A 16,718-nucleotide genomic window follows, 5' to 3' on the forward strand; every position below is an offset into this window, starting at 1 on the left:
ACCAGCCTGGCCAACATGGTGAAACCCCATCTCTACTAAAAATACAAAACTTAGCCAGGCATGGTGGCAGGTGCCTGTAACCCCAGCTACTTGGGAGGCTGAGGCAGGAGAATTGCTTGAACCCAGGGGCGGAGGTTGCAGTGAGCCGATATCACGCCATTGCACTCCAGCCTCGGCAACAAGAGTGAAACTCTGTCTCAAAAATGGGGTTCTTTTCCTGCCATCAAAAATCATGTTTCTTTTAAAAACAAGTTCAAACATTACCAAAGTTTATAGCACAGGAAATACGTCTTCTGTAATCTCCCTTAACCAATATATCCCTCAACATTCTCCTCACCCCCAACTCCACCCTCCCAGGATAACCAGTTGGGACATAATCTTTATTTAAAAATGGTTTCCGGATAGAGAAAGCGCTTCGGCGGCGGCAGCCCCGGCGGCGGCCGCAGGGGACAAAGGGCGGGCGGATCGGCGGGGAGGGGGCGGGGCGCGACCAGGCCAGGCCCGGGGGCTCCGCATGCTGCAGCTGCCCCCGGGCGCCCCCGCCGCCGCCCTCGCCGCGGAGCCGGCGAGCTAACCTGAGCCAGCCGGCGGGCGTCACGGAGGCGGCGGCACAAGGAGGGGCCCCACGCGCGCACGTGGCCCCGGAGGCCGCCGTGGCGGACAGCGGCACCGCGGGGGGCGCGGCGTTGGCGGCCCCGGCCCCGGCCCCCAGGCCAGGCAGTGGCGGCCAAGGACCACGCATCTACTTTCAGAGCCCCCCCCGGGGCCGCAGGAGAGGGCCCGGGCTGCGCGGATGATGAGGGCCCAGTGAGGCGCCAAGGGAAGGTCACCATCAAGTATGACCCCAAGGAGCTACGGAAGCACCTCAACCTAGAGGAGTGGATCCTGGAGCAGCTCACGCGCCTCTACGACTGCCAGGAAGAGGAGATCTCAGAACTAGAGATTGACGTGGATGAGCTCCTGGACATGGAGAGTGACGATGCCTGGGCTTCCAGGGTCAAGGAGCTGCTGGTTGACTGTTACAAACCCACAGAGGCCTTCATCTCTGGCCTGCTGGACAAGATCCGGGCCATGCAGAAGCTGAGCACACCCCAGAAGAAGTGAGGGTCCCCGACCCAGGCGAACGGTGGCTCCCATAGGACAATCGCTACCCCCCGACCTCGTAGCAACAGCAATACCGGGGGACCCTGCGGCCAGGCCTGGTTCCATGAGCAGGGCTCCTCGTGCCCCTGGCCCAGGGGTCTCTTCCCCTGCCCCCTCAGTTTTCCACTTTTGGATTTTTTTATTGTTATTAAACTGATGGGACTTTGTGTTTTTATATTGACTCTGCGGCACGGGCCCTTTAATAAAGCGAGGTAGGGTACGCCTTTGGTGCAGCTCAAAAAAAAAAAAAAAAATGATTTCCAGCGGTCCACATTAGAGTTGAAATTTTCTGGTGGGAGAATCTATACCTTGTTCCTTTATAGGCCAAGGACCGCAGTCCTTCAGTAACACCAGTGTAAAAGCTTGAGGAGAAATTGTGAAGCTACACAGTATTTGTTTTCTAATACCTCTTGTCATTCTAAATATCTTTAATTTATTAAAAAATATATATATACAGTATTGAATGCCTACTGTGTGCTAGGTACAGTTCTAAACACTTGGGTTACAGCAGCGAACAAAATAAAGGTGCTTACCCTCATAGAACATAGATTCTAGCATGGTATCTACTGTATCATACAGTAGATACAATAAGTAAACTATATTGAATATTAGAATGTGGCAGATGCTATGGAAAAAGAGTCAAGACAAGTAAAGACGATTGTTCAGGGTACCAGTTGCAATTTTAAATATGGTCGTCAGAGCAGGCCTCACTGAGGTGACATGACATTTAAGCATAAACATGGAGGAGGAGGAGTAAGCCTGAGCTGTCTTAGGCTTCCGGGGCAGCCAAGCCATTTCCGTGGCACTAGGAGCCTGGTGTTTCCGATTCCACCTTTGATAACTGCATTTTCTCTAAGATATGGGAGGGAAGTTTTTCTCCTATTGTTTTTAAGTATTAACTCCAGCTAGTCCAGCCTTGTTATAGTGTTACCTAATCTTTATAGCAAATATATGAGGTACCGGTAACATTATGCCCATTTCTCACAGAGGCACTACTAGGTGAAGGAGTTTGCCTGACGTTATACAACCAGGAAGTAGCTGAGCCTAGATCCCTTCCACCCACCCCATGGCCCTGCTCATGTTCCACCTGCCTCTAATTTACCTCTTTTCCTTCTAGACCAGCATTCTCGAAATTGGAGGACTCCTTTGAGGCCCTCTCCCTGTACCTGGGGGAGCTGGGCATCCCGCTGCCTGCAGAGCTGGAGGAGTTGGACCACACTGTGAGCATGCAGTACGGCCTGACCCGGGACTCACCTCCCTAGCCCTGGCCCAGCCCCCTGCAGGGGGGTGTTCTACAGCCAGCATTGCCCCTCTGTGCCCCATTCCTGCTGTGAGCAGGGCCGTCCGGGCTTCCTGTGGATTGGCGGAATGTTTAGAAGCAGAACAAGCCATTCCTATTACCTCCCCAGGAGGCAAGTGGGCGCAGCACCAGGGAAATGTATCTCCACAGGTTCTGGGGCCTAGTTACTGTCTGTAAATCCAATACTTGCCTGAAAGCTGTGAAGAAGAAAAAAACCCCTGGCCTTTGGGCCAGGAGGAATCTGTTACTCGAATCCACCCAGGAACTCCCTGGCAGTGGATTGTGGGAGGCTCTTGCTTACACTAATCAGCGTGACCTGGACCTGCTGGGCAGGATCCCAGGGTGAACCTGCCTGTGAACTCTGAAGTCACTAGTCCAGCTGGGTGCAGGAGGACTTCAAGTGTGTGGACGAAAGAAAGACTGATGGCTCAAAGGGTGTGAAAAAGTCAGTGATGCTCCCCCTTTCTACTCCAGATCCTGTCCTTCCTGGAGCAAGGTTGAGGGAGTAGGTTTTGAAGAGTCCCTTAATATGTGGTGGAACAGGCCAGGAGTTAGAGAAAGGGCTGGCTTCTGTTTACCTGCTCACTGGCTCTAGCCAGCCCAGGGACCACATCAATGTGAGAGGAAGCCTCCACCTCATGTTTTCAAACTTAATACTGGAGACTGGCTGAGAACTTACGGACAACATCCTTTCTGTCTGAAACAAACAGTCACAAGCAAAGGAAGAGGCTGGGGGACTAGAAAGAGGCCCTGCCCTCTAGAAAGCTCAGATCTTGGCTTCTGTTACTCATACTCGGGTGGGCTCCTTAGTCAGATGCCTAAAACATTTTGCCTAAAGCTCGATGGGTTCTGGAGGACAGTGTGGCTTGTCACAGGCCTAGAGTCTGAGGGAGGGGAGTGGGAGTCTCAGCAATCTCTTGGTCTTGGCTTCATGGCAACCACTGCTCACCCTTCAACATGCCTGGTTTAGGCAGCAGCTTGGGCTGGGAAGAGGTGGTGGCAGAGTCTCAAAGCTGAGATGCTGAGAGAGATAGCTCCCTGAGCTGGGCCATCTGACTTCTACCTCCCATGTTTGCTCTCCCAACTCATTAGCTCCTGGGCAGCATCCTCCTGAGCCACATGTGCAGGTACTGGAAAACCTCCATCTTGGCTCCCAGAGCTCTAGGAACTCTTCATCACAACTAGATTTGCCTCTTCTAAGTGTCTATGAGCTTGCACCATATTTAATAAATTGGGAATGGGTTTGGGGTATTAATGCAATGTGTGGTGGTTGTATTGGAGCAGGGGGAATTGATAAAGGAGAGTGGTTGCTGTTAATATTATCTTATCTATTGGGTGGTATGTGAAATATTGTACATAGACCTGATGAGTTGTGGGACCAGATGTCATCTCTGGTCAGAGTTTACTTGCTATATAGACTGTACTTATGTGTGAAGTTTGCAAGCTTGCTTTAGGGCTGAGCCCTGGACTCCCAGCAGCAGCACAGTTCAGCATTGTGTGGCTGGTTGTTTCCTGGCTGTCCCCAGCAAGTGTAGGAGTGGTGGGCCTGAACTGGGCCATTGATCAGACTAAATAAATTAAGCAGTTAACATAACTGGCAATATGGAGAGTGAAAACATGATTGGCTCAGGGACATAAATGTAGAGGGTCTGCTAGCCACCTTCTGGCCTAGCCCACACAAACTCCCCATAGCAGAGAGTTTTCATGCACCCAAGTCTAAAACCCTCAAGCAGACACCCATCTGCTCTAGAGAATATGTACATCCCACCTGAGGCAGCCCCTTCCTTGCAGCAGGTGTGACTGACTATGACCTTTTCCTGGCCTGGCTCTCACATGCCAGCTGAGTCATTCCTTAGGAGCCCTACCCTTTCATCCTCTCTATATGAATACTTCCATAGCCTGGGTATCCTGGCTTGCTTTCCTCAGTGCTGGGTGCCACCTTTGCAATGGGAAGAAATGAATGCAAGTCACCCCACCCCTTGTGTTTCTTTACAAGTGCTTGAGAGGAGAAGACCAGTTTCTTCTTGCTTCTGCATGTGGGGGATGTCGTAGAAGAGTGACCATTGGGAAGGACAATGCTATCTGGTTAGTGGGGCCTTGGGCACAATATAAATCTGTAAACCCAAAGGTGTTTTCTCCCAGGCACTCTCAAAGCTTGAAGAATCCAACTTAAGGACAGAATATGGTTCCCGAAAAAAACTGATGATCTGGAGTACGCATTGCTGGCAGAACCACAGAGCAATGGCTGGGCATGGGCAGAGGTCATCTGGGTGTTCCTGAGGCTGATAACCTGTGGCTGAAATCCCTTGCTAAAAGTCCAGGAGACACTCCTGTTGGTATCTTTTCTTCTGGAGTCATAGTAGTCACCTTGCAGGGAACTTCCTCAGCCCAGGGCTGCTGCAGGCAGCCCAGTGACCCTTCCTCCTCTGCAGTTATTCCCCCTTTGGCTGCTGCAGCACCACCCCCGTCACCCACCACCCAACCCCTGCCGCACTCCAGCCTTTAACAAGGGCTGTCTAGATATTCATTTTAACTACCTCCACCTTGGAAACAATTGCTGAAGGGGAGAGGATTTGCAATGACCAACCACCTTGTTGGGACGCCTGCACACCTGTCTTTCCTGCTTCAACCTGAAAGATTCCTGATGATGATAATCTGGACACACAAGCCGGGCACGGTGGCTCTAGCCTGTAATCTCAGCACTTTGGGAGGCCTCAGCAGGTGGATCACCTGAGATCAAGAGTTTGAGAACAGCCTGACCAACATGGTGAAACCCCGTCTCTACTAAAAATACAAAAATTAGCCAGGTGTGGTGGCACATACCTGTAATCCCAGCTACTCTGGAGGCTGAGGCAGGAGAATCGCTTGAACCCACAAGGCAGAGGTTGCAGTGAGGCGAGATCATGCCATTGCACTCCAGCCTGTGCAACAAGAGCCAAACTCCATCTCAAAAAAAAAAATCTGGACACAGGCTGCAGTTGTCACTTTCCAGTAACAGGGCGAGGATGAATGAAGAAAAGGCCCAGAGCTTGCCACATAGGTGTTGACAAGGTAACCCAAAGCTTCTCAACTTACACGGAGGGTTCCTGTTACCCCTCAAAAACTTGGCAATGTGGAGTCTTTTTTTTTTTTTAATTAAGTCAAATGCAGAGCAATTTCCCACACTATATGCAGGTGTCAGAATGAGGTATATAAAACATGTATATAGAGAAATGCCTTTATAGAAAAGTAGAAACCAGTAATATTCTCTTCTCCAGCATCACTAACACCAAGAGACCACCTGAGGTCTAGGTCCCCAAAGCAGATGGCTCCATAGAAAGCCCCACTAACCCGTCTCCACATTGGGCAGTGGAAGGGTTCTGGAAAGGAAGCTCTATGGCTAGGAGCTGCCAAGGCCTCTTGAGTGTGACATCACAGGTTAGAGGCCCTGCTGAGCTGCTAGCACAGTGCAGTGGAGAAATGTTGCGCTCCGTCAGGAAGCTGGGCTCTTGCCATGCCAGTAGCTTGCTTACGACCTTGGGCAAGTCACTTTTTCCTCTCTGGGGTCCTGTGTCCAAAAGGCTTAATGAGCCCTTTCTAATGGTTCTTTGATTGCTTTATGAGTTAGGGGCTGTGACCCTAGCCCCAGTGCCCTACAGGAAGGTGCTGACCTGGACGCCCGCAGGACCACCTGCTAAATCAGGCCCACTTGGGGAGCAAGCCCTGAAGTGCTTTATTACCTTGCCTCTGAGCTTAGTTTCCAGGTTAGCCTCTTAGAAGCAGCTCACAAGGCCCCACAGTATAATTCCCATAGGTTAGCTAACTACTCTCTTACCTGTGCAAAATGAAGACAGGTCACTATCCATCCCTGAAGAGAAACTGGGGCATCCCAGGTCTGCCTCTGCTCCTGTGGCCAAAGGCGGAGCAGATCCTTCTCTATCCTCTTCCTAAGTGGAATGCTCAGTGCAATTCTTCCTTTCCTTATGAAACAGGAAGAGTCCCTGGGCCCAGGCCTGGCCCACGGTTGTCAAGGCACATCATTGCCAGCAAGCTGAAGCATACCAGCAGCCACAACCTAGATCTCATTCCCAACCCAAAGTTCTGACTTCTGTACAAACTCGTTTCCAGTTCTCAGAGGTCAGTAGGGAGTTCCATCCCAAATATTTTAAAAACTAAATATATTTTTTCAATGCCATCCCTTGACCTGCTTTACCTTAACCATGAATAACAGTGTATGCCACTCAAGCCCACAGTGGAGACTGAGGCCATCTTAGTAAAGCACAGAGGAGCCTGGGGGAGCTCCCCGTCTATCCCTGGTTCAGTTCCAGGGGTGCAGGCAATGTTTGGAAGCCCTTAGCAGCAGCATCACTGTGGGAGCTGCCACTGTCTCCATCCACAGACAAAATCTGCTCCAAGGGATGGACAAGGAGCACTGTTAGGACCCTACCCAGCCTTACCCTCAGCCCACAGGGCCACCTGCTTCTGTCACTCTTACTAGGATTCGCCAAAAAAGCGGGGGAGTGGTAGGGTTTTAACCAGAACACAAAGTGGTAGTTCCTCCTAGCTGTAGGAGGGTGGGCTGTCCTGCACCAGTGTCTGCATGGGCTCCTGCCCACTGGGGGGGCTCAGGCCCCAGGAGTCCCGGCCTGGCCCATAAGGGGGGTGGTGCCCTCCTGAGGGTCAACTGGAGTCTGGCTGGTGTGGACCACGACAGTCTTCTCATCCACAATCTCACAGGTGGGGTTGGTGAAGGCAGACAAGGGCAGAGTGATTCGCTGCATCTCCCTCTCACATACTTTCTGATCATGCTGTTCTTTCAAATCCTTCCCCCTGGCAGGAAAAAAACAAACAAACATTCAGGCTATGCCTCCTGCATAGCTTTGCTCATTAGATAGCATCCCTGAGGCTCAGCAAGAGCAGCAGCTTGCCATTGTCACAACAAATCAGTGGCTGAGCCAGGACCCAAACTCAGGTCCAGGATTCTAGGATATCCATTCTGCAAGACGGCGTTAAACTCAACAAGAAGCTCCTGCACCTCTGGTCTTAGGTTCTCCATCTGTAAAATAGGGTGACAGCAGTATGGACTTCATACAGCTTCACCGGGGCTCAATGAAAATAAAGTAAAGGACAGAGACTTTTTTTTTTTTTTTATGGTTGAGACAGGGTCTCAACATGTTGCCTAGGCTGGTCTCAAACTACTGGGCTCAAGCGATCCTCCCACCCCCCAAAGTACTGGGATTACAGGCGTGAGCCACTGCACCTGGCCAGATAGAGACTCTTAAAGCAAGACACAGTTTTGTTCTTTCAGCCCCAGAGACCCAGAGAACTATCTGAACTTCGGACCTAACCCATAAAGTTGTCCAGAAAACTGACCTGATCATCCTGCTGTGAGACAGCCTCCCAGAGATGCTTATTACTTTTAATAAGCATCTACTAAATGTCAGCTACAGGCTTTTTTTTTTGGAGATGGAGTTTCGTGCTTTTTGCCCAGGCTGGAGTACAATGGCACAATCTCGGCTCACTGCAACCTCTGCCTCTCAGGTTCAAGCGATTCTCCTGCCTCAGCCTCCCAAGTAGCCAGGATTACAGGCATGCGCCACCACGCCCAGAGTATTTTGTATTTTTAGTAGAGATGGGGTTTCTCCATGGTGGTCAGGCTGGTCTCGAACTCCCGATCTCAGGTGATCCACCCGCCTCAGCATCCCAAAGTGCTGGGATTACAGGCGTGAGCCACCACACCCAGCCTAATCCCTGTTTTATAGATGAAGAAACTGAGGCTTTTGAGTTTAACTTCCGCGCCTTGCTTTCCTCAGCAACCTCCTTTACCTGTGGCCAGCTGAGCTGCTGCTAATGGCCAGGCTGCATCATATACAAGTCTTTAGGGGAAAAAAATCAATTTGTATTAATGAGGCAGAGCAGGGCTGGAAGAGCAGTCAAGGGTAAAGAAAGCAGATGCTGGCACTAGTCTGGATTAGTCTCATCCATTTGGAAGCCTGGAAGCACACTCAATCCCATGTGCCTGCTGTTAATGGTGCCTGTGAGTCCTAGAGATGCAGTGGCTGCTCCCAGCTCCCTTGGGTGACCTTTGAGAGGCCACTAGGCCTGCTACACTGACCATCAGGCAGCCTAGCCCCTTCTCACTGCTTGGGGGTAGGGGGTGGTTAGCCTGGGTGTTGTGTGGCAGCCAAGAAAGAACAAAAGGCTTGTTCACTGACTTAGTTCCTCTCCTAAGGGAGTGGAGTGGTGTTGACTTACAGTTTTTCCCTCCCCTTTTTATCAGAAAATAAGACCTCCCTCTGAAGCTAGTGCAGACAGTACACTTAGCTCCTCAGTCACAGACTGGCCATTTGAACCTCGTGGCCTAGACTACCAGGACAAAGACCCGGCCAGGCTGAGCTCCCACCCACCCCCATTTACAGCCCTCCCTCCCTAAGAGGAAGCCTGGTGCCTGCCCACCCATCCCAGCCAGGGAAAAGCTCCATCCCATTAGGCAAGCCTCATGGCCTTTGGCAGAGCTCAAGGCTTACAGTACCTACCCTGACTGCTTGCTCCAAGGCCAGGGTGGGACTGGGAGCTGAGCTGGCCAGAGAGAGCAGGTGTAGAGGAAGCTGCTGCCTACCTCCAACTTCCTCTCCCAGAGTATGGAAGCACCACAGACCTCATTCAGACTACACAGGTCGTCTTCAATTATTACTCTGAGCCGCTGCTATTTTCCCAGTCAGAGGCAGTGCTGTGCCACACTGCTGCTCAGGAAAAGTTCCCAAGGCAGCTACAGGTAATAATCACAAGAGCAGCCAACATTTATTTCCTGCTTTCTTAATAAGTAAGGCCCTACTGTATGCTGCCTCCAACTTCCTCTCCCAGGCTATAGAACACCAATTGTATGCCTAAACTATACTGTCCAATTTCATCCTCACAACCTATGTGGTATCTATTTTGATCTGTTTCATAGATAGGAAGGCAGATGCAGAGAAGTTACACTATTTGTTCAAGCAAATGGCAGAGCTGGGATTTGAACCCAGTCTTAGCACCGGCAATATTGTCTTTTTAGGAAATAGAGTTGGGAGTATCACCATATCTAACCCCCTTACAGTACAGATGAAGAAATTGAGGTCCAGAGAAGGTAAATAACTTGTCCAGTGTCACATCCAGAATAGGTGAAAGTTCCAGAACTAGATCTTGTTTCTTCTGACTTTAAACCCAGCCTTTTTTTAAATTTCTATTTTTCCTACTTTCCTTTGCAATTCAAAGCAAATTTACATGAGGCTACTTGGCCTCACTGGACTTGCTGGAGATACTAATACTCCTCAGACATACATTACTAGCTGTGTAGCCTGGCCATTGTACTTAACTCTGCTAGGTCTCAGCTCCTCACTGTAAAATCTAACAGTGCTCCTAGTGTGGTTGTGAGGCTTAGTCAAGGTAATCAGGAGGCTGGGTGCAGTGGCTCATGCCTATAATCCCAACACTTTGGGAGGCCGAGGCGGGTGGATTGCCTGAGGTTAGAAGTTCAAGACCAGCCTGGCCAACATGGTGAAACCCCGTCTCTACTAAAAATACAAAAATTAGCAGGACATGGTGGCGGGTGCCTCTAATCCCAGCTACTCGGGAGGCTGAGGCAGGAGAATCACTTGAACCCAGGAGGCGGCGGTTGCAGTGAGCCGACACAGCGAGACTCTGTCTCAAAAAAAAAAAAATTAAGAAAAAAAGATAATCAGGGAAGAGCATACAGTAGGGCCTTACTTATTAAGAAAGCATGAAATAAATGTTGGCTGCTATTGTGATTATTACCTGATTGGTGTGCTATTGTTTCTGTTTACATTTAATACTTATAATCTTAGATGGGTAGATGTGGAGGGAGGATATATCCCCATTTAACAGACAAGATACCAAGGCTCAGAGGGCACCTGAACCCACACTCAACCTACAGCTCTTTTCAGGACACTCTGCTCTCTGACTTTAGGAAGAGATGAAGGCTGCAAGCTTGTTTTTAAGCCCACATGCGGTTTCCTGTTGTACAGTCTGTTCTCAGAGCAGTTCTGCTGAAGAAAGGGGTGATCTGGTCGTTAGTGACGGGGAGTCTGATGACTGGGTGCCTTGCCCTGAGTTTACAGGAAAATAAATTTTAGGCCTCAGGGCAGTCTCGTGACAGCCTAGAGGAACAAATCTAGAAGAAAAAAGACTTCCACTGGACACCAGAACTGAGCTCAGAATTAAGAATGTTTAGTCAGTTCAAGCACCTGGAAGGCCTGGAAACTGTCACAGGATTGCAGGACAGCCAAATGCTGTTGGGTGGCTGAGGAAAAAGGAGATAGTTCAAGGACTAAACTCAGCCAATGTGGCTTAGGTCTGCTTATGAATTGTAAGGCCAGGGCCACTATGTCATTAACTCTGAAATGAACAAGCAGGTGTCCCTGGACCTGCATGTCAAGCATCCCATTGTGGGAAACAACCTCAGACTGGGCGTCAGGATGTCCTCTCAAGTCAATACTTTCCCTCTCTGGACCTCTGCTTCCTGCATCATAAGAAATCAGAGAGTACTAGTCCATTACCCACTTTTTTTTTTTTTTTTTTTTTTTTGAGACAGCATCTCACTCTGTCACCCAGGCTGGAGTGCAGTGGCACAATCATGGCTCACCATAGCGACTTCCCAGGCTCAGGTGATCCTCCCATCTCAGCCTCCTTAGTAACTAGGACTACAGGCGCCCACCACCATGCCTGGCTAATTTTTGTATTTTTTTGTAGAGACAGGGTTTTGCCATGTTGCCCATGCTGGTCTCGAACTCTTGGGCTCAAGCGATCCACCCACCTCTGCCTCCCAAAGTGCTAGGATTACAGGTGTGAGCCACTACGCCTGGTCCATTACCTACATTTTTTTTTTTTTTTTTTTGAGACGGAGTATGGCTCTGTCGCCCAGGCTGGAGTGCAGTGGCACAATCTCGGCTCACTGCAACCTCAGCCTCCCAGGTTCAAGCGATTCTCCTGCCTCAGCCTCCCAAGTAGCCGGGATTACAAGTGCCCGCCACCACGCCTGGCTAATTTTTTGTATTTTTAGTAGAGACAGGATTTCACTATGTTGGCCAGGCTGGTCTCGAACTCCTGACCTCATGATCTGCCCGCCTCGGCCTCCCAAAGTGCTAGGATTACAGGTGTGAGCCACCACGCCCAGCCACACATTTTATAGAAAAGAAAAACAGCCATCATTTACTGACCACCTACTATGTGCCACACCCTGAGCTAAGTAGTCAAAAGCCATAGCTCCACACCATGATGTGGAGTAGGAAATTGAAGCAATTTGCCCAGGGTCACAGAGATAGCTAGTTAAAGGACTTCTCTCCACCAAATGCTAGGTGTGTAACCTCAGGTAACGTATATAATCCCCTCTTGCCTCAGTTTCCTCATCTGTAAATTGGAGATGACAGCATTTACCTCATAAGGGTGATTATGAGTTAAAGCATGTGCTTCAAGCAGTGTCTGGCATACGGTACATGTTTGCTACTGCTGTTATTATTATACCCAAACTTCCCCTTTTTCATCTGTAATGAGGAGGTTGACTACAAGGCCTTTAAAGATGCCCTGCTGGGTGATCCACTGAGGCTGTGGGCTCAGACATGGCCCTCATCACTGGAAAATGCAGGCTGCATGCCAGGCATGGTGGTTCATGCCTATACACTTTGGGAGGCTGAGGTAGGAGGACTGCTTGAGCCCAGGAGTTTGAGACTAGCCTGGGCAACACAGTGAGACCCTGTCTCTATAAAAAAATTAAAAATCAGCCAGGCATGGTGGGACATGCCTGTAGTCCCAGCTACTCAGTGGGGGTGGGTGGGGGTAATTACTTGCGCCCTGGGAGGTTGAGGCTGCAGTGAGCCGTGATCGCACCACTGCACTCAAGCCTAGGCAATAGAGCGAGACCCTGAAAAAAAAAAATCAAAGAAAGGAAGGAAAGAAAGGGGAAGGAAGGAAGGGAGGGAGGGAGGGAGGAAAGGAAGGAAAAATGCAGGCTACTGTGTCACTTTCCTCACAGGAAGTTTTCTCAGACCACAGAGGAGAATATTACAGACACCCAGGGCTAGAAGTCAAATCCCCCGATTTTGCCCAAGAATGGCAAATAATTTTCCACAATCAGCCAGTGCTGTAAAGATGAATGCCAGTCTGGCTTACCATCATGCACCAGTCACTGACGGACATCTCGTGGGACCTTTCAAAATAAGCATTCTTCTCCTGCTGTCCCAGCCACAGGTCATGTCCTTGAGTTTCACAAGTAGCCTCTTTGGCTTTCTCACACGTGGTGAAGAGTGGCAAACAGACTTTCTGTTCTCCAACTCACTTTTTTCTTCCCTAGCAGAGGAGATCCCACTGCTTATAGCTCAGGAAATTTAAGCCTCAACTGCAACAGTGGCTGGAAACCTTTTCTAGTAGCAGAATTTTATAACTCACAGAAAGAATTTGGTCTTAAGGTCCCTGCAATCAGTGTCAAGCCTGATTTCTGCAGTGCCACTCACTTCAATGCCAGGCATGTGGGATCAGACAGCAGGGAATTTGCTATCAAAAGAGCTGGGTCTGAATCCAGGTTCTGCCACTCCTAGGCTATGTGACTTTGAGCAAGTCTCTGACAGAGGCTTCTTCATTTGTAAAATGCGGAACAAGAACATCCCTCACAAGGCTTTTAAGTGAGGTGTAAAGGCACCAAAGGAAAGGGTTTGTCCAAGGTCAGCAGATAAAGACTAGGACCAAGTCTCTACATCTTGAGCTGATTTTCAACATCTTGCTTCCTTTTGGGTAAGAAAGCCACAAAGTTTGACTTTGTGTACCTTCCTCCCCTCCTCCTAAGAGGGCCCAGAAGAGAAGCTACTGACCTCTTGTAGGAGTAGCCCAAGATGATGCCAGCTCCGATGGCAATGATGATCACCATCATGGTAATGCCCAGCACGTAGCCTGCCAAGGATAGGACACAAGGTCCCATTAGCCACACCCTAGACAATCAGCAAATGACATCTCTTGATGAATCCCAACGAGGGCAGGGGTGGGGGACCGTCATACCCAGAGTTCCCAGGTCCTTTTTCTCCTTGGAGTTCATCCGCACCCGCTGGCTGATCCCAATCACTGGCTGCACAGCTGCCGCCTCACTCCGAGCGGGCAGGGCGTTGGCAGGAGCGAACACCTGCACCTCATCTGCACCTGGCCCTTCAGACGCTTCCTGGATTTCTGTCGTGAAGGCTGGCAGGGCCTGGGAGGTGGTCTCTGGAGATGAGGTGGGAAACAGCTCTCATCAGGGACTGCCCTGAGTGAATTCCACAGCTGAACCTGGCCTGAGTGTTAGGGTAGATGAAGGTGGGTCACCTAAGAATTTCCCCCCACACACAACCCAAAGTCAAATTCTGCCCCAGAGGTAAGATCAGGCCTGAGAGGGCTGAACCATCTCAGGGACAAGGCAAATGAGAGAGGAAGGCCGTAGGGAAGGGCTTCTCTCCTACCTCCCACGTCTTTATCTGTCCAAATCCTTGCTATTTCCCAAGGCCCCTCTCGGTTGCGTTCTTCTGCAGGGGATTCCCCCCACTTCTACTTCAGGAAACAACCCATGCTTCCTTTGAGCAGCTCACATCTAAGCGTACGCTCTGTGCCAGTCCTTAGGTAAAATGTTTTACTTTGTGCCGGGAGCGGTGGCTCACGCCTGTAATCCCAGCACTTTGGGAGGCCAGACGGTCGGATCACCTGAGGTCAGGAGTTAGAGAGCAGCCCGGCCAACATGGTGAAACCCCGTCTCTACTAAAAATACAAAAATTAGCTGGGCGTGGTGGTGCACGCCTGTTATCCCAGCTACTCAAGCGGCTGAGGCAGGAGAATCACTGTAACGCGGAAGGCGGAAGTTGCAGTGAGCCGAAATTGCGCCACTGCACTCCAGCCTGGGTGACAGAACGAGACTCCGTCTCAAAAAATAAAAAATAAAAAATAAATGCTTTATTTTGATTATCCCATTTAAACCTAGAAAACTCTCTTGCTGCTTTGGGAGCAAAAAGCCTGCGCTCTGGAATCTAAGAAACGTGAATTCAAATCTGTCCCCTGCCATTGCCTTTGGTAAATCGCTTAACTTCTCTGAAGCTCAGATGCCTCAAACGACTTCTTCCCGCGGTGTGTGTCAGGGGAGGTTGGGGAGCTGGGGTTGTGAGCAGTGTGGGTCTAGCACACTGCAGACGCTCCGCAAACGGTCAATAAACGCTGAGGGGCCAAAAGCCACTCCTCAGGACGCGCGGCGGAGAGACCTAGCCTCACCCCAGCCTCGCCCCGCGCAGTTGTTTACAAGCGCTCGCGGCGGATGAGCTCATACGAGTGGCGGCGGCGGCCAATAGGCTTTGAGCCCCGCGGCCTGGAGACAGCCCTGGCCAATCGGACGGCGCGGAGGCGGAGCGGGGCCGGCCGGCATCGCGCGGCCGCACGTGCGCCACGAGTGTCTCAGCCGCTTCCTGTCAGCGCCAGGAGCGGGGATTCCCGGGGTCCCGGGCAGGTACCTGGACAGCGCAGGTCCTCGCAAGGCCGTTTCTCAGGGACGCCGGCCTCGCCACTGACGTAGCACCAGGGCCCGCGCGGGTCCTCGTCCGGGTTTCGGCAGTAACTGTGATTGCCGGCCCCTAAGAGAGGAGAGAAGGAAATGTGTGCCGGGGCTGGCACCGGGAACGCGGCCGCCGCCCGCCAGCCCCGGGGCCGTCCCCCGGAGGACACTTACCCGACACGGGGGCCGAGGCCAGCCCGCTCTGCGCGTCCAGCCAGTTGAGGCAGCGGAGGCCCGGCGCGGGGGAGGTCTGGTCCTCCCGGTACAGGTGGCCGTTGTCCCAGAAACAGCCTGTGAGGAAAAGAAGCCCCCGGACACAGAATAGCGGGCAGCGAACGGAAGACGCCCAGCGTGGCGGACAGGGGAGCCGGGACCACCCGGGCTGAACCTCAGCCTGGTTAGGGGACCCCGGGCCCTGCTGGGCCTCCCTCTCCTCTCGTGGCAACACCCCCACGCCCCACGCACCCCCCCCCCCCAACTCCACGCACACCTCAGGGTGTGAAGCCCCCAGCCTGTGCCTGTCCCCCAGTCAACGCTCAGAGACTGTTAGGTTTTATTTATTTTTGAAACCTGGAAAGCGCTGCAGAAGTGCAAAGCGTTGTTACTCTTGAACTTGTGACCACTTTGGAGGAGGAGATGGAGAGGAGGAGGCCTGGCTTAGGGTCCCTTTGAGGAGCTGGGAGTTTTGGGACGGGGGGCGCCCAGACGTGACATTTGTCCCTGTGTTGTAATGGCCACGTTACATAAACTCCGGTGTTTCCTCCTTCACGGATACGGCCACCTTCTGCCCGTTTAAAAGGCAAATACTCCCTCCCAGGAGAATTCTCCAGGAGCCTTGACTCCGTCAGGCAAAAGATTCAAGACAGCCTCAAACGGAGGAAACCGGCCTCATCGCTGACTGGATGAGACTCCAAGCTCCCACTCCCCTCTGCAGGAGAACCACAGAAGGAGGCTGGGGAAGGAGGACCACACCATGCAAAGGGCTTAGAAAGAACAGGACTTGGGGAGTAGGGGAGATGAACCCCCAAGCTCCATCCACTCATGAGCAAGGAAAGGCAGAGAGAAAGTGGCTTCTTGCCTTTGTTCTTAATGGCAAAGATGGAGCTGCAAGCCCCTGACAAGGAAAGGAGGGGTGGAAAAGCTTTCACGGGACAACAGAAACCGGCTAAACGCTTCGTTTCCTGTCATCCTGGCCCTGTTTGGGAAATAGGGGGCTTTACCCCTTCTGTTTCATGAAGTTGCTGCGGAAAGGAAAGATTGTAATCTCACCTCCAGATCCATAGGCTTCTGCTAGGAGCATGTTGCTGACGAGGAATGCTTGTACCCAGGCCAACAGCATCCTTGCCTCCTTCGTCTTGCAGGTGATTGAACGACCAGTGTTTAACCGAGGCCCCCTTGGCGGCGGCTCTGCCTCCCAGTCCCAGCCTTGCAGTCAGACCTGCCCTTGTTATGCTGTTCTGGTAAACAGCCTCTCTTTAGAACTGGGAGCTTCCCAGCTAGCTTGCTGCAGCGCGAGCTGTTTTTCAGCTGAAAGGCGCCCCCTGGGTCCTAAGCCTCCTAGGTCATGCAAAATCTAACTGAGCCAAGAAAGGAACTCAGCCAAGAGATATGCAGGTTGTGCTTAGCAGCCGATCAGTTTGAGACCTGCGAGGCCGCATCCCCAGGGTTTTTCATCTCTTCTGTTTCCATTTGTGTGAGTACAGAAAAAATAATTCTATCAAGGGGCATCATGGGATGTGGGAAATTATA

At 51.3% G+C, this 16,718-nt stretch overlaps 2 protein-coding genes and 1 pseudogene across 5 annotated transcripts in view, besides 7 other annotated features; 2 read left to right on the forward strand and 1 right to left on the reverse strand.

Annotated features, from left to right (window-relative positions):
- The window catches only part of LIMK2 (LIM domain kinase 2), a 67,783-nt gene extending 63,739 nt beyond the window's left edge, over positions 1–4,044 (forward strand). For 2 of the 3 annotated variants that reach the window (NM_005569.4, NM_016733.3), the window contains one exon: positions 2,261–4,044. In NM_005569.4, the coding sequence (NP_005560.1) occupies positions 2,261–2,405 (145 nt within the window). In that variant the 3' untranslated portion in view covers positions 2,406–4,044. Of the gene's footprint in view, positions 1–752; positions 1,603–2,260 lie in introns of those variants that run through there. The other variant, NM_001031801.2, reaches the window with a different exon arrangement.
- Positions 172–752: an enhancer, noted in NCBI's record as "H3K27ac-H3K4me1 hESC enhancer chr22:31672194-31672774 (GRCh37/hg19 assembly coordinates)". NCBI's record gives its function as "activates a minimal SCP1, AML or CMV promoter by ChIP-STARR-seq in naive and primed H9 embryonic stem cells {active_cell/tissue: H9 hESC(naive and primed)}" and the evidence as "EXISTENCE:reporter gene assay evidence [ECO:0000049][PMID:30033119]".
- On the forward strand, positions 401–1,379 carry PPP1R14BP1 (protein phosphatase 1 regulatory inhibitor subunit 14B pseudogene 1; annotated as a pseudogene).
- Positions 2,429–2,929: an enhancer, noted in NCBI's record as "H3K4me1 hESC enhancer chr22:31674451-31674951 (GRCh37/hg19 assembly coordinates)". NCBI's record gives its function as "activates a minimal SCP1, AML or CMV promoter by ChIP-STARR-seq in primed H9 embryonic stem cells {active_cell/tissue: H9 hESC(primed)}" and the evidence as "EXISTENCE:reporter gene assay evidence [ECO:0000049][PMID:30033119]".
- On the reverse strand, positions 5,557–16,498 carry PIK3IP1 (phosphoinositide-3-kinase interacting protein 1). 2 transcript variants are annotated; one of them, NM_052880.5, is made up of 6 exons: positions 16,239–16,452; positions 15,144–15,260; positions 14,929–15,048; positions 13,463–13,663; positions 13,279–13,357; positions 5,564–7,252 (listed from the first exon to the last, which is right to left on the reverse strand). In NM_052880.5, exons 1-6 carry the CDS (start codon positions 16,306–16,308, stop codon positions 7,048–7,050), a joined length of 792 nt encoding a protein of 263 aa, NP_443112.2. In that variant the 5' UTR covers positions 16,309–16,452; the 3' UTR covers positions 5,564–7,047. The 2 variants fall into 2 exon arrangements, with proteins under 2 accessions (NP_001129383.1, NP_443112.2); NM_001135911.1 differs by lacking the exon at positions 13,279–13,357 and having other exon boundaries at positions 5,557–7,252; positions 16,239–16,498.
- Positions 13,248–13,297: an enhancer, noted in NCBI's record as "active region_18852". NCBI's record gives its function as "activates an Ori minimal core promoter by ATAC-STARR-seq in GM12878 lymphoblastoid cells {active_cell/tissue: GM12878}" and the evidence as "EXISTENCE:reporter gene assay evidence [ECO:0000049][PMID:35858748]".
- Positions 14,445–14,644: an enhancer, noted in NCBI's record as "active region_18853". NCBI's record gives its function as "activates an Ori minimal core promoter by ATAC-STARR-seq in GM12878 lymphoblastoid cells {active_cell/tissue: GM12878}" and the evidence as "EXISTENCE:reporter gene assay evidence [ECO:0000049][PMID:35858748]".
- Positions 14,695–14,924: a silencer, noted in NCBI's record as "silent region_13625". NCBI's record gives its function as "represses an Ori minimal core promoter by ATAC-STARR-seq in GM12878 lymphoblastoid cells {active_cell/tissue: GM12878}" and the evidence as "EXISTENCE:reporter gene assay evidence [ECO:0000049][PMID:35858748]".
- Positions 15,105–15,224: a silencer, noted in NCBI's record as "silent region_13626". NCBI's record gives its function as "represses an Ori minimal core promoter by ATAC-STARR-seq in GM12878 lymphoblastoid cells {active_cell/tissue: GM12878}" and the evidence as "EXISTENCE:reporter gene assay evidence [ECO:0000049][PMID:35858748]".
- Positions 15,785–15,834: an enhancer, noted in NCBI's record as "active region_18854". NCBI's record gives its function as "activates an Ori minimal core promoter by ATAC-STARR-seq in GM12878 lymphoblastoid cells {active_cell/tissue: GM12878}" and the evidence as "EXISTENCE:reporter gene assay evidence [ECO:0000049][PMID:35858748]".
- Positions 16,499–16,718: the final 220 nt, after the last annotated feature.

Source organism: Homo sapiens, chromosome 22, assembly GCF_000001405.40.
Source record: "Homo sapiens chromosome 22, GRCh38.p14 Primary Assembly".
NCBI lineage: Eukaryota > Metazoa > Chordata > Mammalia > Primates > Hominidae > Homo > Homo sapiens.